Source organism: Homo sapiens, chromosome 19, assembly GCF_000001405.40.
Source record: "Homo sapiens chromosome 19, GRCh38.p14 Primary Assembly".
In the NCBI taxonomy this organism is placed as follows: domain Eukaryota; kingdom Metazoa; phylum Chordata; class Mammalia; order Primates; family Hominidae; genus Homo; species Homo sapiens.
Genome location: NC_000019.10, coordinates 35,883,559 through 35,904,393, shown reverse-complemented (window position 1 = coordinate 35,904,393; position 20,835 = coordinate 35,883,559). Strand labels below are relative to the sequence as shown.

Here is a 20,835-nt window from a genome sequence, read left to right as displayed (position 1 = left end):
AGATCCTTGGGCTGATGGGATGGGGACATGTGGGGGTTCTGAGGGGGCCTTGGATCCAGAAACAGTTCATGGGAGGGAGGCTTTGGGAACTCTGGGGTTCTTTGAGAAAGAATACGACTACAGGTGTTTCAATTGTTTTATTACAATCCAAAAGTTGGGGCGGGGGTTCCTGTGCCACCACACACCATCCAGGATGAGAGGGTCAGAAGTCAAAGGTCCAAGCTGCAGGAGGGTCAGCCCCTGCCTGGCATGTTGATGTAGACTTTGCCATCTTCTGGGGATAGGGGAGAGAAAGCATGAAGCTTGACCACCCATATCTCCACTTCCCTGGGGACCCCCTGCTTCAGGGGTTTCCTCAGGGGTTCCCCCAGGCACCTCCCCCAGGGTTTCCCCAGCACCTCCTCCAGGGCTTCCCCAAGGGCCCCCTCCCTGGGACCCCCTCCCTAGGGACACTATACACCTTCCAGGCCCCGCCCATCTCCGCCCTCACCTTGGGCGGGGCTGCGGCGTGGGCGTGCGCACAGGAACACCGCCCCCACGATGAGCAGCGATGCCACCGCATCAGCAGCCACGAGGCCTGCCAGGAGCGGCAGAGAGAGGGACCCACATCCGGAACAAGAGCCTGGAGAGTGGGGGCCGGAACAGGGAGACAACTCAAGCTCTGCGTCCTGGGGCTGTGCTTTGGCCACAGGCAGAGAGGAAGTCCCCTGCGAGGGGGCGGGTCCCAGGTTCCTTGGAGTTGCGCTTGGGGAATGAAACGGGAGACAGATGCAGAGAGGCTGGGGTGTCCCAGGACCCTCGGGGCTGTGCGGCGGGCACACGGGGTGCTCCTGAACACAGGCTGGGGGTCGCTGATTCTGGGACTCGGAGAAGGACACGGATCCTCTGATTTGGGGACGGGAGGTGGGATGGTGACCTGGAGAACCACTGGGGTGTTCTGGGAGCCTCTGGCCAAGCTTCTGGGGTGGAAGTGATACCTGAAGTGCCAGGGTAAAAGGCAGGGAGTGATGATCTCTCTCCTGGAGTCGTCTGAGCTGCAGCCACTGTGGAAAGAGAAAGAAGGTGGATGAGGGTGGAGAGAAGGTCCACAAAACAGAATGCTCAGCCTGGCACCGTGGCTCACGCCTGTCATCCCAGCACTTTGGGAGGCCGAGGCAGGAAGATCGCTTGAGCCCAGGAGTTCGAGACCAGCCTGGGCAACATAGTGAGACCTCGTCTCTACAAGAAATACAAAAATTAGCTGGAAGTGTTGGTTCACACCTGTAATCCCAGTTACTCGGGAGGCTGAGCTGGGAGGATCACCTGAGCCCAGGAAGTCAAGGCTGCCGTGAGCCGTGATTGTGCCACTGCACTCCAGCCTGGACAACAGAGCAAGACCCCATCTCAAAATAAACAAACCAAAAAATAGGGTGTAGAGAAGGAAAGGTAGTGTCCTGAGAAGTAATCTCCAGGCTGGAGAGATGGAACAGGACCACATGGGAAGGGGACTCCCAGAGACATGGAGAGTGACAAGAAATTGGAAGTGGCAGCAGAGACCCAGCCATGAGAAGGGGACGCTAACAGGCAGCCCCTCCAGAACTCCCTGTCTCACCCCCTTCCGCCCCCAAGGACCCAGGCCCTGAAGCAGAATGGATCTCCCAGAAGGGAAGGGGTGCAGGGAGAAGAACCCCACTTTCATCACCCGTCCCTGCAGACGTCACCCAAGCACCCATCTCACAAACGCTCTGCCTACCATCCCCTGTAACCACTGGCTTCACCTGGGAGCAAAAGCAGGAAGAGGATGTGACCCAGATGGATCATGGTGGACTGGGGTCTGGCAGGGGTCTGGCAGAGGACTGTGGTCCAGAGAAGTCCAGAGGAACTGTGGGGGAGCAGAGAAGTAGCAATAGCGGATGTCACCCTGCTGGTGTCAAGGCCATCTGCTTCCTGTGTGTGTTGAGGGGGTGTCTCCGTTACTGCCTTTGGTGAACGAACTCAGGGGGAGGGTCAGAGAGACCAGGGAGGCTGCTGGCCTGGTCCAAGTGGGAATGACAGGTGGCAAGGGTGTGCAGGCTAGGGAGATCTGGAAATATTTTGGAGGTAGGGCCAAGAAAATTTGCTGATTAAATGAATGTGGGTGTGTTTGAGAGGGATCCTAGACAGCCAAGCCTTCTGGCATGAAACGCTGAGAAGATGGGAGTGTCTGCTGGCAGAGATGAAAGGTAGGGAAGTGGGTTTGCGGGGAAAGTGACGAGGTTTGGGCATACAGGGTTGGAAATGCCTGACAATCTCCCTGTGGAGATGCTGAATAACCTCACTGCATTTAGGAGTTCAGGGGATAAGGCTGGTCTGGAGATGTAAATTTGGGGGTTGATGGCTTATGGATGGTACTTAAAGCCACAAGACTGGGTGAGATCACCAAGGAAGTGAGTGCAGACAGGATTCTGCCCCTATCACAACACACACTGAATGGGGGAAGAGGAGGAACTTTGCCAGGGAAATGGAGAAAGAGGGAGGGGACCCCTGAGAGCATGGCATCTTGAAAGCAGGGGAGAGGCCACCGCAGTGGCTCATGCCTGTAATCCCAGCACTTTGGGAGGCCAAGGTGGGGGGATCACCTGAGATCAGGAGTTCAAGCCAATATGGTGAAACCCCGTCTCTACAAAAATACAAAAATTACCCGGGCATGGTGTCAGGCTCCTGTAATCCCAGCTACTTGGGAGACTGAGGCAAGTGGAGGTTGCAGTGAGCCGAGATCTCACCACTTTGCCACTGCACTCCAGCCTGGGCGACAGAATGAGACCCTCTCTCTAACAATAAAAATGTAATAATAAAATAAAATAGAAAAGCAAGCAAGCAGGGGAGAAATAGGGCCAACATGGTCAGTGCTGTGAAAGGTCACCAAGTGAAACTGAGAGTGGCCTCCCACTGGAATGCCAGCTCCAGGGCTGGGAATTCCTGCCTGCTTAGTTCACAATACACAGCAAAATGCCTCCTCTGCTGCAATAAATTATTTTAAATGATGAATGAGTAAATGAAACCAGACCTCTAAAAAGGGTGATGTAGGGGAGAGGGAGAAATTGAGCCACACCCTATACCCTTACCCACAGACCCTTCCTCTGGGAGTCTAGACCCCCAGTCCTGCCTCCCTCTGGACCCAGTAATATTCTCCCTGCCCCCACCCCATCTCCATCCCCACTCCTACCCCTACCCCCATGGGCAGGACCCAGGAGACAAAGCCTCCAGCACCCCCTTAGACACAGACCCAGAAATCCAGGCCCCAGCCAGGCACCATGGCTCAAGCCTGTAATCCCAGCACTTTGGGAGGCCAAGGCAGGCGGGTCACCTGAGGCCAGGAGTTCGAGACCAGCCTGGCCAACACGGTGAAACCCCATCTCTCCTAAAAATACAAAAATTAGCCAGGCATGGTGTCCAGCACCTGTAGTGTCAGCTACTCGGGAGGCTGAGGCAGGAGAATCGCTTTAATTCAGGAGGCGGAGTTTGCAGAGATCGCACCATTGCACTCCAGCCTGGGCGACAGAGACTCCTTCTCAAAAACAACAACAAAAAAAAAAAAAAAAAAAAAAGAAAAGAAAAAAAAGAAAAAGAAAAGAAAAGAAATCCAGGCCCCCCGGTTTCTCCCTCCTCTTGGAGCCCGGTGCCCTAGGCTCCTTCAGAGCAAAGATCTGGACCCCAGCTCCCTCCTTCCCGGGGGGACTGAGTAGTCCGCCTCCCAAGTCCGCCGCGCCCATTCAGGGACTGCGTTCGCCGGAGCGCGACCCGGGGACTCCCAGGCCTGTGGGCGGGCCCTGCCCAGGACTGGGCGGTGCCATAACCCCTAGTTTAAAAACTCGCGGGTACCGGACCCAAGATCGGGGACCCGGCGGCGGCTCCGCGGGGGAAACAGCGAGGCTGGCGCAGCGCCGAGGCCGCGGCCCTGGGGGCCCGCAATCCACGCCACGGAATCCCCGAGGTAATGGGCGCGGGCAGGACGCGTTCGGCCCCCTAAGAGAGTGAGGGACTGAGGATCGAAAGACTCCCGAGGCCCTGAGGGACGGAGCTGAAGCGTCAGTCCTTTATCCCGAGAGTGAGGGCCCTAGGTGTTTGGAGGAGGAGGGGATCGTGGATCGTGACAGAGGGGCGGCTGGGATCCCAGACTTCTGGGTCCTGGGGGTGCAGGGGCCTGGGGATCCAGGATCGCAGGGCCCCGAGGGTGCAAGGGCTGGGAGGCTTGGGAGGCTGGATCTCTGGGTCCTTGGAGGTGCTAGGGGTTGCTGGCAACCGAGACTCCTACCCCTAGAAGCAGGGACTAGGCTGAGTGCGGGGGGGGGGGGGGGGGGCGTGGTTGCTTAAAATCGGCGTGGGTCTCGGTGGGGAAGGGTCCGGAGCCTGGCCTCAGGGTCTACGCTGGCGGTGACCCTGCCTCTGCCCCGCCCTGGGATTTCCGGATGGCCACCCGTGCGGGGCTGAGCAGGAATTCCCCTTGCGCGGGGATTCCACGAGCGCCACGATCGGCCGCGCGCCCCGCCTCGGAGCAGGACACCTGGGGCACAGGACTTGGGGGGAAGGGGAGGATGGAAGATTCCCTTGCGTGAGCGCCGTGGCGTCAGCGCGCCGCGTCGGGGCTGTTTCCGAGCCACCTCCTCCCGCCCCCGCCCCGCGCAATCCCCACTTAACCCTTCCTCCGCCGGAACCCAGGCTCGGAAGGGTGAGGGTTCTGTCTTTCTGAGTCGTGGGAAGGAGTTTGGGAACTGGGGCTCCCAGGTCCTAGAGAGGAAGGAACTGAGGGTCCAGATTCCTGGGGCCTGAAAAAGAGACTGTATGGATGGGCCTTTTTTTTTTTTTTTTTTTTTTTTTAATGGAGTCTCTCTCTGTCGCCCAGGCTGGAGTGCAGTAGCGCGATCTCCGCTTACTGCAACCTCAACCTCCGCCTCCCGGGTTCAAGTGTTTCCCCTGCCTCACCTGGGATATACAGCCGCCTGCCACCACGCCCGGCTAATTTTTATATTTTTAGTAGAGACGGGGTTTCACCATGTTGGCCACCTGACCTCAGGTGATCCGCCCCCCTTGGCCTCTCAAAGTGTTGGGATTACAGGCGTGAGCCACCGCTCCCGGCCCGGGGTGAGGCCTTTGACTTCTCGAGGAGGGGCGCTGGGGACTCCTGATTTCCGGGTCAGGTTCTAGGGAAAAAAATGTTGGGAACCTGGATGTGAGTCTAGGGAGTGACGCCTGGCGCCGGCCCCCCACCAACCCGCTGACTTCAAAACTTGGATATCTGGGGGTGGAATTTTTTTACGGAAGTGGGGTGGTTGCTGCAGAGGGGTGCCCTCCTCCCCCTTCCTCACTTTCCGCGACGGTGGTGGAAAGTTGGGTCAGAGGGAAAGTGCGGAGCAAAAGGAAGGAAACGGCGGAGGCGGATGCCCCACCCCAAATCTTCTAATGGCTTTGGAGGAGTCAGGCGGCATCTATGTGCCAGTTTTTCCGCGCGGGAGGGCGAGGAGGGTGCCCAAACCCACTCCCCGCGCGCCACCCCCGCGGCATTTAGGTGACTTAAGGACCCTTGATGACTTCCCCCTCTCCTCTCCCGCACAGTGAGCAGGGGTGAGCGCAGCCACTGCCCAACGCAAACCGTGAAGAAGCTTCTGGAAGAGCAGAGGCGCCGCCAGCAGCAGCAGCCCGACGCTGGCGGGGTGCAGGTGAGGCCAGGGAGCCACAGCTCTCCGGAGGCCCCGTGCTGTCCCGTAGGGACTCAGCGGCTTGCCGGGCCCTCGGGGCTGATGAGAGGGGTGGTCCTGACCGAAATGTCTTATAGATCCGAGACAGACCCGGAGGAATCTGCCAGATAAAGTCACCTGGGTTCCTTTTTGCTTTTGTCTCTACAGGGACAATTTCTCCCTCCCCCAGAGCAGCCCCTGACCCCATCTGTGAATGAGGCTGTGACTGGTAAGTTCTCTCAGCTCCCGGCCTCCCCATCCCCCTTCCCTAAGGGACTCAGACATCGCAGCTCTCAGAACTTTGGGACACCTGGGAGTCAGGCCCTCATTCTTCCCTTTTTTTTTTTTTTCTGAGACAGGATCTCACTCTGTTGCCCTGGCACTGGAGTGCAGTGGCGCTATCTGGCTCACTGCAGCCTCAACCTTCTGGGCTCAAGTGATCCTCCCGCCTCAGCCTCCCAAGTAGCTGGGACCACAGGCGATGCCACCTTGCTTGGCTAATTTTTTAAATTTTTGTAGAAACGGGGTCTGGCTATGTTGCCTAGGCTGGTAGGCCCTCATTCTTGCTGGAACTCAGTAGCAGTCTGATTTCCTAGGTTCTCTTGAGTCCAGTAGTCTATGCACATAGTCCTACGGAGCCCCAGGGCCCAGGCTCAGCCTTTTTAGTGCCCCAGGAGTCCAGGCCCTCAATTCCTCAGTGTCCCAGGAATCCAGGTCCCGGGAGCTTGGTGTCCCAGAAGTACTAACTCTCAGTACCTTGGGAGACGCCAGGCCCTCTAGCCCTGGATGTGACGTCCCCAACTCTGGTAACCAGACCTGCCCCTGCCCCTCCTCTTACACGCAGGCCACCCTCCCTTCCCAGCACACTCGGAGACTGTGGGTTCTGGACCTAGCAGCCTGGGCTTTCCAGACTGGGACCCCAACACGCATGCTGCCTACACTGACAGCCCCTACTCTTGCCCTGCTTCTGCTGCCGAAAATTTCCTGCCTCCTGACTTCTACCCACCCTCGGACCCAGGGCAGCCGTGCCCATTTCCCCAGGGCATGGAGGTGAGATACAGAGTGGGTACAGGATGCTGAAGGGCCCCTAAAAATTCGCAGTTGCACTCCTGCAGTATTCTGAGATGTCTGGAGCTCAGTTACGATTCCCTTTTCCAGGCCGGGCGTGGTGGCTCACACCTGTAATCCCAGCACTTTGGGAGGCTGAGGCAGGCGGATCACTTGAGGTCAGGCGTTTGAGACCAGCTTGGCCAACATGGTGAAACCAAAAATAAAAAAATTAGCTGGGTGTAGTGGCGCACGCCTGTAATCCTAGCTACTCGGGAGGCTGAGGCAGGGGAATTGCTTGAACCCAGGAGGTAGAGATTGCAGTGAGTAGAGATTGCACTGCTGCACTCCAGCCTGGGTGACAGAGCAAGACTCTGTCACCGAAAAAAAAAAATACCCTTTTCCAGGTGGGCAAAACTGAGGCCTAAAGGTCCAAGGTCACTTGGCATAGATGGGATACCCAGGGGCTCTGCATGCAGATGTGTGTGTGGTGGCTTGGGATGGAGGAATTCTCAGCTGACTGGGTCTCCCCACCACCTGCACCCTCCAGGACCCCCCAGACACCCAGTTCTATGTAGGATCTTCTCTGCCACAGGCTGGACCCTGGAGAGTTTCTGCACCCCCTTCAGGACCCCCACAGTTCCCCGCTGTGGTCCCTGGACCATCGCTGGAGGTGGCCCGAGCTCACATGCTGGCTTTGGGGCCACAGCAGCTGCTGGCCCAGGATGAGGAGGGGGACACGTGAGTATAAGGGATAGGGTTGTCTGCAGACTCTTGGCTTGGTGGGGGCTGTTCTCACGGCTGTCCCCCACCTGTCCTCAGGCTCCTTCACCTGTTTGCGGCTCGGGGGCTGCGCTGGGCGGCATATGCTGCGGCTGAGGTGCTCCAGGTGTACCGGCGTCTTGACATTCGTGAGCATAAGGGCAAGGTGAGGCTTGGGGCCTGAACTCTCCTGGGTTCAGGGGAGGAAGGAGCCTGGGGCCTGGACCCCTGGATCCTAGAGAAGAGGGGAATGGGGGGTGAGCTCCTGGGGCTGAGGGGGGATGGGGCTGGGAGCCTGGTTTTCTGACGGGAGGGAACCAGGAGCCCAACCTGACTTCTCCTGTGGCCTGCAGACCCCTCTCCTGGTGGCGGCTGCTGCCAACCAGCCCCTGATTGTGGAGGATCTGTTGAACCTGGGAGCAGAGCCCAATGCCGCTGACCATCAGGGACGTTCGGTCTTGCACGTGGCCGCTACCTACGGGCTCCCAGGAGTTCTCTTGGTATGGCCAGCTGGCAGGCAGGGGTTTGTCTGGGGGGTAGACTGGTTGCCCAGATTTTGGCTTCCAGGGCCAGGAGGCCAGGGGATACCCTTACCCAGCAGTCTGCCTTCTCTTCCTCCCAGGCTGTGCTTAACTCTGGGGTCCAGGTTGACCTGGAAGCCAGAGACTTCGAGGGTAAGTTGGGTGTGGGCAGGGCTGGTGTGGTTGGTGTGGCTGGGCGAGGTGGGTGCAGATGCGGGTCCCTCACTGTCTCCATTCTGCAGGCCTCACCCCGCTCCACACGGCCATCCTGGCCCTTAACGTTGCTATGCGCCCTTCCGACCTCTGTCCCCGGGTGCTGAGCACACAGGCCCGAGACAGGCTGGATTGTGTCCACATGTTGCTGCAAATGGGTGCTAATCACACCAGCCAGGTGAGCGGGGATGTGGGCGGTCAGACCCTGGGAGATTGTGTGGAATGGGGCCACTTGGATGTCCGGGAGCTCCAGGCAAATGCTGACTTTGCCTCTTCCTTGCTGCGTGCCCTTGAACATGTTACTTCACTTCTCTGTGCCTTAGGGGTTTTTTGTTTGTTTCTTTGTTTGTTTTGAGATGGAGTTTTGCTCTTGTTGCCCTGGCTGGAGTGCAATGGTGTGATCTTGGCTCACCGCAACCTCTGCATCCCGGGTTCAAGTGATTCTCCTGCCTCAGCCTCCTGAGTAGCTGGGATTACAGGCATGAGTCACCACGCCTGGCTAATTTTTTTGTATTTTTAGTAGAGACAGGCTTTCTCCACATTGGTCTTGCTGGTCTCGAACTCCCGACCTCAGGTGATCCACCTGCCTTGGCCTCCCAAAGTGCTGTGATTACAGGCGTGAGCCACCGCGCCCAGCAGGGTTTTTTTGTTTGTTTGTTTTTTTGTTTTTGAGACAGGGTCTCACTCTGTCGCCCAGGCTAGAGTGCAGTGGTGCAATCTCATCTCATGGCAAACTCTGCCTCCCAGGTTCAAGTGATTCTCCTGTCTTAGCCTCCTGAGTAGCTGGGACTATAGGCGCACGCCACCATGCCTGGCTATTTTTTTTTTTTTTTTTTTGTATTTTAGTAGAAGTGGGCTTTCATTGTGTTGGCCAGGCTGGTCTCAAACTCCTGACCTCAAATGATCCTCCCACCTTGGCCTCCCAAAGTGCTGCGATTACAGGCGTGAGCCACTGTGCCTGGCCCCTAGTTGTTAACTGGGAATAATATTACTGACCTTAGGGTATGTTATCAAGCACTTACTATTCATTCATCAAGCACTGAGTTTCATAGATTAGCTTATTGAAACCTCACAAACACCCTTTGACATGTGTACTCTATTTTCTCTATTTTACTGAAAAGGAAACAGGCATGGGAAATCAAAAATCTTTTTTTTTTTCTTTTTGAGATGGAGTTTTGCTCTTGTTGCCCAGGCTGGAGTGCAATGGTGTGATCTCGGCTCACCACAACCTCCGCCTCCTGGGTTCAAGCGATTCTCCTGCCTCAGCCTCCCGAGTAACTGGGATTACAGGTTCCCACCACCACGTCCAGCTAATTTTGTATTTTTAGTAGAGACAGGGTTTCTCCATGTTGGTCAGGCTGGTCTCGAACTCCCGACCTCAGGTGATCTTCCTGCCTCGGCTTCCCAAAATGCTGGGATTGCAAGCGTGAGCCACTGCACCTGGCCTCAAAAATCTCTTTGAGACAGGGTCTCACTCTGTCACTCAGGCTGGAGTGCAGTGGCATGATCACAGCTTATTGCAGCCTTGACCTTGTGCACTTAAGTGATCCTCCCACCTCAGCCTCCCAAGTAGCTGTGATCACAGGCATGCACCACCATGCGTGGCAACTTTTTTGTAAGGTGGGGTCTAACTATGTTGGCCAGGTTGGTCTCAAACTCCTGAGCTCAAGCAATCCTTCCACCTCTGCCTCTGAAAGTGCTGGGATTACAGTTGTGAGCCACTGCACCCAGCCTGAAAAATCTTATAGCTTGTGACTGTCAGAGAGAGAATTAGAACCCAGGTAGTCTGACTTTAGAACCTAGCTTTTAATTATGTTCTGTTCCTTTCCTGTGACAGTAGCTCCTTCATAGGCTGGCTGAGAGAATTAAACATCCACAAAAAATGTTTATTTATTTATTGAGATGGAATCTCACTCTGTCACCCAGGCTGGAGTGCAGTGGCATGATCTCGGCTTACTGCAACCTCTGCCTCCCGGGTTCAAGCCATGCTCCTGCCTCAGCCTCCTGAGTAACTGGGACTACAGGCATGCACCACCACGCTTGGCTAATTTTTTTGTATTTTTAATGGAGACGGGGTTTCCCTATGTTGGCCAGGCTGTTCTCTCAAACTCCTGACCTCAGGTGAGCCGCCCGCCTTGGCCTCCCAAAGTGCTGGGATTACAGGCATAAGCCACTGCGCCCAGCCGAAAAATGTTTTTTTAGTTAAAGAATGTTGAACACCAATAAAATATAGAAAATAGTGGAATGAACTCCATATGTCCAACATCAATAACCAGCCACTCATGGCCAGTCCTGCCCCATCCACTCTCTCACTTTCAAGTGATTTTTTTTTTTTTTTTGAGATGGCTCTCGCTCTGTCACCCAGGCTGGAGTGCAGTGGTGCGATCTCGGCTCACTGTAAGCTCCGCCTCCCGGGTTCACACCATTCTCCTGCCTCAGCCTCCTGAGTAGCTGGGACTATAGGCACCCGCCACCACGCCCGGCTAAATTTTTGCATTTTTAGTAGAGACGCAGTTTCACCGTGTTAGCCAGGATGGTCTCGATCTCCTGACCTCGTGATCCACCCGCCTCGGCCTCCCAAAGTGCTGGGATTACAGGCGTGAGCCACTGTGCGTGGCCTCTCACTTTCATGTGATTTTTAAGCAAATTCCAACATGTATTTTTTTCAAAAATATTTGTGTATCTTTAAAGAATAATGGTGTTTAGCAGAATTAGCTAGATGGTGGGGATGGACTGTAAGAAGGACGGGCATGACTGAGTAGAGACAAGATAAGGCATTATTAGCGGGGTTAGGAAATGAATGATGGTAATCTAGGCTCTTAATGGTTGCAAAGTAGAGCTAAGTGATCATTTGGGCAATACAGAGAAGGTGAAATTGATACTTTGGTAATTCATTCGTTTCTTCACTCAGAATTTTGGACACATATGATGTAGCTACCAGTGTGCTAGTGATGGGGCATAAAGTTGCTTTTTGTTTGTTTGTTTTTTAGAGACAGAGTCTGGCTTTGTCACCCAGGCTGGAGTGCTGTGGTGCGATCACGAATCACTGCAGCCTCGACTTCCTGACCTCAAACATTCCTTCCACCTCAGCCTCCTAAGTAGCTGGGACTACAGGCATGAGCCACCTCACCCGGCTAATTGTTTTATATTTTTTGTAGAGAGGGGGGGTCTCACTATGTTGCCCAGGCTGGTCTCGAACTCCTGGGCCCAAGTGATCCCCCAGCCTTGGCCTCCCAAGTGCTGGGATTACAGGCGTGAGCTGCTGTGCCCAGCTACCTATAATGTTTTAATAAGAAAAGACCACTTTCTTGTACTTTTAGACATTAAAATTTAATGGAAAAGAGAGGAGATGATAAGTAAACAAAGAACTGAACATAATTACAAATTGGGATGAGAGCTGCCTTGGGAATGTAGAAGGAGCTCTTAGACAATAAAAAGATTGGCTTTATATTGGATGCGGGGCTCACAATGAAGGTCATTCTGAGGAAATTACATTTAAGTTGAGCAAGAAATGATGAAGAGGAAGAATTAACTGTGTGGTAGGGTTCTGGGAGAACTCAGAAATCAGGGAGTATTTCTCTGAAAAAAGGACAAATAATTTTTTTTTTTTTTTTGAGATGGAGTCTCGCTCTGTCGCCCAGGTTGGAGTGCAGTGGCACAGTCTTGGTTCACTGCAACCTCCCAGGTTCAAGTGATTCTCCTGCCTCAGCCTCCCGAGTAGCTGGGACTATAGGCATGTGCTATCACACCCCACTAATTTTTGTATTTTTAGTAATAATAATAAGTTTTTTAAAAATAAGAAAGATGGCTGGGTGCGGTGGCTCATGCCTGTAATCCAAGCACTTTGGGAGGCTCAGGTGGGCGGACTGCTCGAGCTCAGGAATTCGAGACCAACCTGGGCAACATAGGGAGACCCCATCTCTAAAAAAAATACAAAAATTAGCTGGGCTTGATGGCACATGCCTGTGGTCCCAGGTACTCAGGAGGCTGAGGTGGGAGGATCACCTGAACCTGGGGAGGTCAAGGCTGCAGTGAGCCATGATTTTGCCACCACACTCCAGCCTGGGTGACAGAGCAAGACCCTGTCTCTCAACAACAACAACAACAATAATAAAAGATAAGAACTCTTTCCCTGTAATCCCAGTGCTTGGGGAGGCTAAGGTGGGAGGATCACTCGAGCCCAGTAGGTTGAGGCTACAGTGAGCCTTGGTCACACCACTGCACTCCAGCCTGGGCAACAGAGCGAGACCCTGTCTCAAAAAACAAACAAAAAACATAGCTTTTTTTTTTTGAGACGGAGTCTCACTCTGTTGCCCAGGCTGGATTGCAATGGTGTGATTTTGGCTCACTGCAACCTCTGCCTCCCGGGTTCAAGCTATTCCTGTGTCTCAGCCTCCCAAGTAGCTGGGATTATAGGCATGTGCCACCACGCCTGGCTAATTTTTGTATTTTTAGTAGAGACGGTTTCACCATGTTGGCCAGGCTGGTCTCGAACTCTTGACCTCAAGTGATCCGCCCTCCTTGGCCTCCCAAAGTGCTGGGATTACAGGCATGAGCCCCTGTGCCCTTCGAAAAAAAAGAACTTTTTAAACCTCAGTATCATTGCTCTGTCTTTAAAAAATTAAAGATTTTCTTGTAATACCAAATATCCTGGCTGTATTCAAATTTCCTTTTGGCTGTAAAATGATAATTTTTTTCATTAAAAAAAATCAAGATCCAAATAAGCACACATATTATGATGTTACGTCTTTTCAAATCACTCTTAATCTAGAGCTTTGGTTTTGTCTTCATCATTTTTTGGACGAGCAAACTAGGTGGTTTTGCCCTGTTATCAGCACATAAAATGTTTAACATTCATTATCGTTACAAACTCCTTAAAGACACATAAAAAGGTTTCATTTTAGAAAATGTCTTTTATTTTCCCCCAAATATGATGGGAACAGCTCAATATTGTGGTGCAGTATTGCAATATTAGCTAGTCCACTGATTAATGCTGCCAACTCCTGTGCTTGTAGATAAAGTACAGTCTGTGTGGGTCGGGATGCAATTTAATGTGTTGAATGGAGGGCAGGTAGCCAAGGCAGTTGCTTTGAAGAACTGGAAAAGGAGTCTCTTTCTCAGACACTGGTGGGAAAATTGTCATGAGAAATGTACAGTTCTGGAAGGTGTATGGTGTGAATGGTACACCCTGAGACGTGGTGTTGTGCGGTGCACAAGACATACAACTGAATAAGGCACTCTTGGTGGGGCTCGCAGAAGAGGGCCAGCATCTTATTTATTTATTTATTAATTTTGAGATAGAGTGTCACTCTGTCACCCATGCTGGAGTGCAGTGGTGTGGTCATGGCCCACTGCAGCCGTGAACTCCTAGGCTCAAATGAACCTCCTGCCTCAGCCTCCCAAGCAGCTGGGACTACAGGTGCGCACCACCACGCCTGGCTAATTTTTCTATTTTTTGTAGAGATGAGGTCTTGCTGTGTTGTCCAGGCTGGTCTGCAGCTCCTGGCCTCAAGTGATCCTCCTTCTTCAGCTTCCCAAAGTGCTAGGATTACAGGCGTGAACCACCGCACTCCGCCAAGGGTCAGGGTCTTTAAAGACTCCTGGATTCTGTGGGAGGGCACCTAGGTGTGAGGCTGGCCCTGACCTCTGCCATTCCCTTCCCCTCAGGAGATCAAGAGCAACAAGACAGTTCTGCACTTGGCCGTGCAGGCTGCCAACCCCACTCTGGTTCAGCTGCTGCTGGAGCTGCCCCGGGGAGACCTGCGGACCTTTGTCAACATGAAGGTGGGAGCTGGGGCTGGGAAGTGCAGATTGTGTGGGGTACGGTAGGGGGGGCAGTGGGATGTTAGGGGTCCTGGGGGCTGTGGACGTGGAGGGGACGATGTGTGGGATCTGCAGGGGAAAGTATAGGAAGCAGACACAGATTGCCCCAGAACATGTAGTCCGTGGACACAGGGATGCATGCAGCGTGGCTGTGGCCGGGGGAGGTCTGGGATGTGAAAGGACAAGTGTAGGACGTAGACAAGGCAGAAATTGAAGTGCAGTTTAGAGGCCTGGGCCAGCTGAGCCCAGATCCCCACCAGCCCTCCCCTTACTTTTCCAGGCCCACGGGAACACAGCCCTCCACATGGCGGCTGCCCTGCCCCCTGGGCCGGCCCAGGAGGCCATCGTGCGGCACCTGTTGGCAGCTGGGGCGGACCCCACACTGCGCAACCTGGAGAATGAGCAGCCCGTTCACCTGCTGCGGCCCGGGCCGGGCCCTGAGGGGGTAAGTAAGCACTGAGCCTGCCTGTAGAGTGGCCTCTGAGCTCGCGGGCGCGGGATGACCTCCCTGCCCCACCCAATGCTCGCTTTCAGAGAATGACTTCTAATCTCGGAAGGTGACTTCAGCCCTCAGGCAACCCTGACTCTATAATGTGACCTCTGACCTCAGTGTTTCATCCTTTACCCCAGAATGGTGACTTCTCTGATCTCTACCCCAACCCTGACCTCACAGTGTGACCTGTACTTCCAACCCTGAATCTTGCTTGACCTCAAGGTGTGACCTTTGATCCCCCCAAGTGTGACCTCCTACCCCCTGCCCCTAACCTTGGGTCCTGACCTCAGATGTGACCTTTGACCTCTTACCTGTTCCCTTCAATTCCCTCTCATTCCTCACCCCCAGGTGGGAACCCCCAGCCAGCAGCCCCTTTCCCTTCACTGAAGTTCTGCTTCCTGACCCTTTCTCAGTGTACGAACCCAGGCCTTGACCTTCTTCCCACATCTTTATTTTTATTTGTTTGTTTGTTTATTTATTTATTTTGAGGCAGCGTCTTGCTCTGTTGCCTAGGCTGGAGTGCAGTGGCATGATCATAGCTCACTGCAGCCTCGAGCTCCTGGGCTCAAGGGATCCTCCCACCTCAGCCTCTCCAGTAGCTGGTACTACAGGCAGTCACCACCACACCCAGCTAATTTTGTTTTTTTTTTTTTTTAAGAGATGGGGTCACACTATGTTGTCCAGGTTGATCTCAAACTCCTGGCCTCAATTGATCCTCCCGCCTTGGCCTCCCAAAGTGTTGGGATCACAGGAACCATCACTCCCGGCCTCCTTCCCAAATCTTTTTTTTTTTTTTGGAGGCGGAGTCTTGCTTTGTCACCCAGGCTGGAGTGCAGTGGTGCAATTTTAGCTCACCGCAAGCTCCACCTCCCAGGTTCAAGTGATTCTCCCACCTCAGCCTCCCAAGCTGGGACTAAAGGCACACGTGCCACCATGCCCGGCTAATTTTTGTATCTCTGGTAGAGGCGGGGTTTCGCCATGTTGGCTGGGCTGGTCTTGAACTCCTGACCTCAGGTGATTTGCCCACCTTAGCCCCACAAAGTGCTGGGATTACAGGCGTGAGCCACTGCACCTGGCTCTTCCAAAATCTTGACTCTGGACCTCTGATCTTCAAATCCAAAGGGACCCACTCAACCTCTCTTCTCTAGCCCCTCCCTCTGCATGGCGTGCCTTCCCCACCTCTCCTTCCAACCTGACAGACTTCTCTCCCTCCTTTGCCTTGTCTACAGCTCCGGCAGCTGTTGAAGAGGAGCCGTGTGGCGCCGCCAGGCCTGTCCTCTTAGGACTCAAACCCAGACCCTGGACTGATTTTCCAGTCCCCACCGTCCTGCGGGACAGCCAGCGTATGCTAATGTTGCAAACCCATGATAATGTATGTGGAATATCCTGCCATTGGGGTTTTACATTAAAACCCCAGAATGGCTGCAGAGGGGTGAACAGGCCCCAATATTTGGGGTGCTGTGATACCCCTCTTCTACCCACAAGGAGCCCTCTTGATGATTTCTGTGAAATCGAGGCCCCTTGATTGTTTCTGTGAAACACCCTGCACCCCTAGTCCTTTCCCCACTGAGATCTTTCGGGTTCTCTCCCCTAACTCAGCTCTTCGTTCCCAGAAACCCAGATGTAATCCCCCTACGTGGTGCTTGGGGCATCCCGATACCATCTCAGTAAATCTCCTACAATGGCCTCCTCACCCTCCCCGGGACCCACACCCTTCAGGTCCTCACCCTGAGACAGGAGGGACCCTCTGAGATCAGGGACCCTTAGGTCTCACTGCTCTCTGATTCAGAGCTCAGCTGGGCCCCCAGTTCCAGACCCCAGCATTCCCGGTCACTCCCTCCCTAATCTGAGCATCACTCAAGCTCTTTATTAAACTCAATTTGGGCCAGATTTGGTGGCTCATGCCTGTAATCCTAACACTCTGGGAGGCCGAGGCGGGCGGATCACTTGAGGTGAGGAGTTTGAGACCAGCCTGGCCAACATGGTGAAACCCTGTCTCCACTAAAAATACAAAAACAATTGGCTGGACATGGTGGCATGCGCCTGTAGTCCCAGCTACTTGGGAGGCTGAGGCAGAAGAATTGATTGAACCCAGGAGGCGGAGGTTGCAGTGAGCCGAGATTGTGCCACTGCACTCCAGCCTAGGTGACAAAGAGAGACTCTGTCTCAAAAAAAAAAAAAAAAAAAAATTTAAACTCAATTTGGACTAGAACCACTGTTGTCTGATCTCTGGGGGCACTGGTGCAGGGGAGTGGCTGTGATGCCCGCTGAGGGGTCATATTGGGATGAATGTGCCTGAGGGGGGAGGATGTAGCAGCCACCATGGGTGCCAAGTCCATATCCTGTCACCCTCACCCTGGCGACACAAGAGGGACTGGCCTTTAGGAGGCCAAGGTGTGAGGATCACTTGAGGCCAGGAGTTTGAGACCAGCCTGGGTGTCAGCCCCAGAATATTTGCCTTTGGGCAATCTCAAACCACTGGTGCGGCTCTGCCCCAGGTATGAGCATGGCAAGTGTTGAAAGCCAGGGGGTTCGTGTCCACTTCCCACTCCAGCAGCCCTCAGCCAGTTACTGATAGGAGATAGTCCCCCACCTGTCTGTTGGGCTAACTTGGAAGTGCATGGCCTATGCGGGCTCCAGAGTTCCCCAGCAGATGAATCCCCAGTTCCCCACAGTGGTCTGGGCTTGATAAAATACCCTTTATTGGCTGCTCTTTCTTCTCTGTGTCTCTTCCTGTCTCCCCTACCAATGTTCTCCATCCCTTCCAAATGAACTTTCCCTCCAATCCTTCCCTCCATAGCTGCTTTTGGAGAAACCCAAACTAAGAATTCCACAAAACCCCATTCTCAGCCAGGCGCAGTGACTCACACTTAAAATTGCAGCACTTTGTGAGGCCGAGGCGAGCAGATCACCTGAGGTCAGGAGTTTGAGACCAGCCTGGCCAACATGGCAAAAACCCATCTCTACTAAAAATACAAAAATTAGCCAGGCGTGGTGGCGTGCGCCTGTAATCCCAGCTACTCAGAAGGCTGAAGCATGAGACTCGCTTGAACCTGGGAGGCAGAGGTTGCAGTGAGCTGAGATTGCGCCACTGCACTCCAACCTGGGCGACAGAGCAAGACTCTGTCTCAAAAAAAGATACAAAAAAACCCCCAAGGCTGGGCGCAGTGGCTTATGCCTATAATCCCTGCACTTTGGGAGGCGGAGGCGGGTGGACTACCTGAGGTCGGGAGTTTGAGACCAGCCTGGCCAACATGATGAAACCTTGTCTCTACTAAAAATACAAAAAAATTGGCCAGGCGCAGTGACTCACACCTGTAATCCCAGCATTTTGGGAGGCCGAGGCGGGCGGATCATGCGGTCAGGAGATTGAGACCATCCTGGCTAACACGGTGAAACCCTATCTCTACTAAAAATACAAACCAAAAAAAAAAAAAATTAGCTAGGCATGGTGGCGGGCACCTGTTTTCCCACCTACTTGGGAGGCTAAAGCAGGAAAATTCCTTAAATCCAGGAGGCGGAACTTCCATTAACCTAAAATCCCACCACTTTTCTCCACCCTGGGCAACAAAACAAAATTCCGTCTCAAAAAAAAAAAAAAACCCAAACCCCATTCTCATACCCGCTCCACAGCCTCTGCTCTGGCCTCTGCAATATAATCACACAAAGAGCCCCCATCCCAGAAAGCCCTTGGACCCATCACAGCCCCCATAGCTAGGAACCTTTCATGGACCACAGACCGAATGTACATGTTAGCACATTCCGGGGCTCCAGCCAATGTCTCCACCCCAAAACTTAAGGCTTAAACCAACACCCTTTTAATTATTTCTTTTCTTTTTTCTTTTTTGAGAAGGAGTCTCAGTCTCACCAGATTGGAGTGCAGTGGCGCGATCTCTGCTCACTGCAACCTCCGCCTTCCAGGTTCAAGCGACTCTCCTGCCTCTGCCTCCCAAGTAGCTGGGATTACAGGCACCCACCACCACGTCTAGCTAATTTTTGTATTTGTTTAGTAGAGATTGGGGTTCCAGCATGTTGGCCAGGCTTGTCTCGAACTCCTGACCTCAAGTGATCCACCCACCTCGGCCTACCAAAGTGCTGGGATTACAGGTGTGAGCTACCGCGCCCAGCCCCTCTTAATTGTTTCTGACTGAAATCTACGCCGGGTTCAGCTGGCTGTTCTGCTGTCTCCCTTTGGTTCCTCATGTGGCTGCAATCAACCTGAGGCCCAACTGGCCTGGAAATCCACAACACCTTCACTCACATGCCTGATAGCTCAGCTGAGATAATGGAGCTTCCAGGAGTGGCCCAAGAGTCTTTCCATGCAGTCCAGGAGGGCAGGTGGATCTCTTAACTTCAGGTGGTGGCTCAGTGGTTCCAAGAAAGAGAGATCCAAGGAGACAAGTCCCTGCTTGTATCATACTTGTTGACATGTCATTGATCCCAGATCAGTGTGGGAGGCATTACACAAGGGTCTCAATATTGGGAGACAGAGTTATCTGGGGACTGGGCGAGGTGCCTCACTCCTGTAATCCCAGCAATTTGGGAGGCCAAGGAGGGCGGATTACTTGAGGTCAGGAGTTGGAGACCAGCCTGGTCAACATGGTGAAACCCTGTCTCTACTAAAAATACAAAAATTAGCTGGGCATGGTGGCGGGTGCCTGTAGTCCCAGCTACTTTGGAGGCTGAGGCAGGAGGATCACTTGAGGCCAGGAGTTTGATGCCGCAGTGAACCATGATTGCAGCACTGCACTCCAGCGTGGGAGGCAGCAAGACACTGTCTCTAAAGTAAGTAAATAAATAATAATAATAAAATAAAAAATACAGAAGAACTTAATTGGGATCATCTTATAGTCAATTGTGTGACATAGTTTATATTTTGCCTTTTTTTTCCTTTTGTGGTACCTAAAATAATGCTATTTTTTATCACTGATGGCATCTGAGGTTTTGTTGACATATAAGATGTATATCTCAATTTGTATTGTTATGGAGTGCATGTTTGTGTCCCTCTAAAATTCATTTGTTGAAACCATAAGCCCCAGTGGGGTAGTATTTGAAGATGGGCCTTTGGGAGGTAGTTAGGTCATGAGGGTGGAGCCCTCATGAATGGGACTAATGTCCTTGTTAGAAGAGATGGGAGAGTCCGGGCGTGGTGGCTCATGCCTGTAATCCCAGCACTTTGGGAGGCCGAGGCGGGTGGATCATCTGAGGTCTGGAGTTCGAGACCAGCCTGACCAACATGGAGAAACCCCGTCTCTACTAAAAAATACATATTAGCCAGGCATGGTGGTGCATGCCTGTAATCCCAGCTACTCAGGAGGCTGAGGCAGGAGAATCACTTGAACCTGGGAGGTGGAGATTGCGGTGACCCGAGATCATGCCATTGCACTCCATCCTGGGCAACAAGAGTGAAACTCCATCTCAAAAAAAAAAAAAAAAGAAGGAGACAGGAGAGAGCTTGCTTCTCTGCTCTCTACTCTCTGCCATATGAAGATGCAGTAAGAGGATGGCCATCTTGGGCAGGGCACACTGGCTCACACCTGTAATCCCAGCATTTTGGGAGGCCAGGATGGGAGGATAGCTTGAGCTCAGGAGTTTGAGAACAGCGTGGGCAGCATGGTGAAATCCTGTCTCTACTCAAAAAAAACAAAATAGCCAGGTGTAGTGGTGCACACCTGTGGTCCCAGCTACTCGAGAGAGTAAGGCAGGAGAATTGCCTCAGCCTGGGAGATCAAGGCTGCAGTGAGCTGTGATTGCACCAGTGCACTCCAGCCAGGTGACAGAACAAGACCTTGTCAAAAAACAAAACAAAACAAACCATCTGCAAACCAGGAAGAGAGTCCTCCAGACTTTGGAGCTGCTGGCACCTTGATCTTGGACTTCTCAGCCTCTAGCACTTGTGAGAAATAAATGTGTGTTGTTTAAGCCACCCAGCTCATGGTATTCTTAGCCCAGACTAAGATGCATATCAATACACACATGTGCACACACCCACCCCACTAACATGATAAAATGTCCCTCAGAAACTTTGTGTGTTTTTTTTTTTTTTTTTTTTTAAATAAGAACAGGGTCTCACTCTTGCTCAGGCTGGAGTACAGTGGTGCAATGTCAGCTCACTGCAGCCTCCACCTCCTGCCTGGACTCAAGAGATCCTTCTGCCTCAGCCTCTTGAGAAGCTAGGACCACAGGTGTATGCCACCACACCCAGCTAATTTTTTCGTTTCTATTTTTGTAGATACAGGGTCTCACTATGTTGCCCAGGCTGGTCTCGAACTCCTGGGCTCAA

General features: G+C 53.1%; 2 protein-coding genes across 9 annotated transcripts, besides 7 other annotated features; one reads left to right on the top strand and one right to left on the bottom strand.

Moving 5' to 3' along the window:
• Positions 17-1,865, bottom strand: HCST (hematopoietic cell signal transducer). 4 transcript variants are annotated; one of them, XM_017026193.2, is made up of 4 exons: positions 1,758-1,865; positions 978-1,043; positions 491-744; positions 17-274 (listed from the first exon to the last, which is right to left on the bottom strand). In XM_017026193.2, exons 1-4 carry the CDS (start codon positions 1,798-1,800, stop codon positions 203-205), a joined length of 435 nt encoding a protein of 144 aa, XP_016881682.1. In that variant the 5' UTR covers positions 1,801-1,865; the 3' UTR covers positions 17-202. The 4 variants fall into 4 exon arrangements, with proteins under 4 accessions (XP_016881682.1, NP_055081.1, XP_047294046.1 ...); NM_014266.4 differs by having other exon boundaries at positions 491-622; XM_047438090.1 differs by having other exon boundaries at positions 123-271.
• On the top strand, positions 2,091-16,442 carry NFKBID (NFKB inhibitor delta). 5 transcript variants are annotated; one of them, NM_032721.3, is made up of 12 exons: positions 2,091-2,201; positions 5,572-5,675; positions 5,862-5,922; positions 6,538-6,743; positions 7,336-7,481; positions 7,563-7,668; positions 7,856-8,002; positions 8,125-8,176; positions 8,266-8,414; positions 13,904-14,020; positions 14,340-14,504; positions 15,782-16,442. In NM_032721.3, the coding sequence occupies exons 1-12, from the start codon at positions 2,111-2,113 to the stop codon at positions 15,833-15,835; spliced, it is 1,398 nt and encodes a 465-aa protein (NP_116110.2). In that variant the 5' UTR covers positions 2,091-2,110; the 3' UTR covers positions 15,836-16,442. The 5 variants fall into 5 exon arrangements, with proteins under 5 accessions (NP_116110.2, NP_640332.2, NP_001352635.2 ...); NM_139239.5 differs by lacking the exon at positions 2,091-2,201 and adding an exon at positions 3,854-3,952; NM_001365705.1 differs by lacking the exon at positions 2,091-2,201 and adding an exon at positions 4,651-4,687 and having other exon boundaries at positions 6,556-6,743.
• Positions 3,821-3,970: a silencer, noted in NCBI's record as "silent region_10542". NCBI's record gives its function as "represses an Ori minimal core promoter by ATAC-STARR-seq in GM12878 lymphoblastoid cells {active_cell/tissue: GM12878}" and the evidence as "EXISTENCE:reporter gene assay evidence [ECO:0000049][PMID:35858748]".
• Positions 3,821-4,982: a biological region, named in NCBI's record as "H3K27ac hESC enhancers GRCh37_chr19:36390314-36390870 and GRCh37_chr19:36390871-36391426".
• Positions 3,870-4,425: an enhancer, noted in NCBI's record as "H3K27ac hESC enhancer chr19:36390871-36391426 (GRCh37/hg19 assembly coordinates)". NCBI's record gives its function as "activates a minimal SCP1, AML or CMV promoter by ChIP-STARR-seq in primed H9 embryonic stem cells {active_cell/tissue: H9 hESC(primed)}" and the evidence as "EXISTENCE:reporter gene assay evidence [ECO:0000049][PMID:30033119]".
• Positions 4,331-4,580: an enhancer, noted in NCBI's record as "active region_14504". NCBI's record gives its function as "activates an Ori minimal core promoter by ATAC-STARR-seq in GM12878 lymphoblastoid cells {active_cell/tissue: GM12878}" and the evidence as "EXISTENCE:reporter gene assay evidence [ECO:0000049][PMID:35858748]".
• Positions 4,426-4,982: an enhancer, noted in NCBI's record as "H3K27ac hESC enhancer chr19:36390314-36390870 (GRCh37/hg19 assembly coordinates)". NCBI's record gives its function as "activates a minimal SCP1, AML or CMV promoter by ChIP-STARR-seq in naive and primed H9 embryonic stem cells {active_cell/tissue: H9 hESC(naive and primed)}" and the evidence as "EXISTENCE:reporter gene assay evidence [ECO:0000049][PMID:30033119]".
• Positions 4,995-5,566: an enhancer, noted in NCBI's record as "H3K27ac-H3K4me1 hESC enhancer chr19:36389730-36390301 (GRCh37/hg19 assembly coordinates)". NCBI's record gives its function as "activates a minimal SCP1, AML or CMV promoter by ChIP-STARR-seq in primed H9 embryonic stem cells {active_cell/tissue: H9 hESC(primed)}" and the evidence as "EXISTENCE:reporter gene assay evidence [ECO:0000049][PMID:30033119]".
• Positions 5,567-6,139: an enhancer, noted in NCBI's record as "H3K27ac-H3K4me1 hESC enhancer chr19:36389157-36389729 (GRCh37/hg19 assembly coordinates)". NCBI's record gives its function as "activates a minimal SCP1, AML or CMV promoter by ChIP-STARR-seq in primed H9 embryonic stem cells {active_cell/tissue: H9 hESC(primed)}" and the evidence as "EXISTENCE:reporter gene assay evidence [ECO:0000049][PMID:30033119]".
• Positions 16,443-20,835: the final 4,393 nt, after the last annotated feature.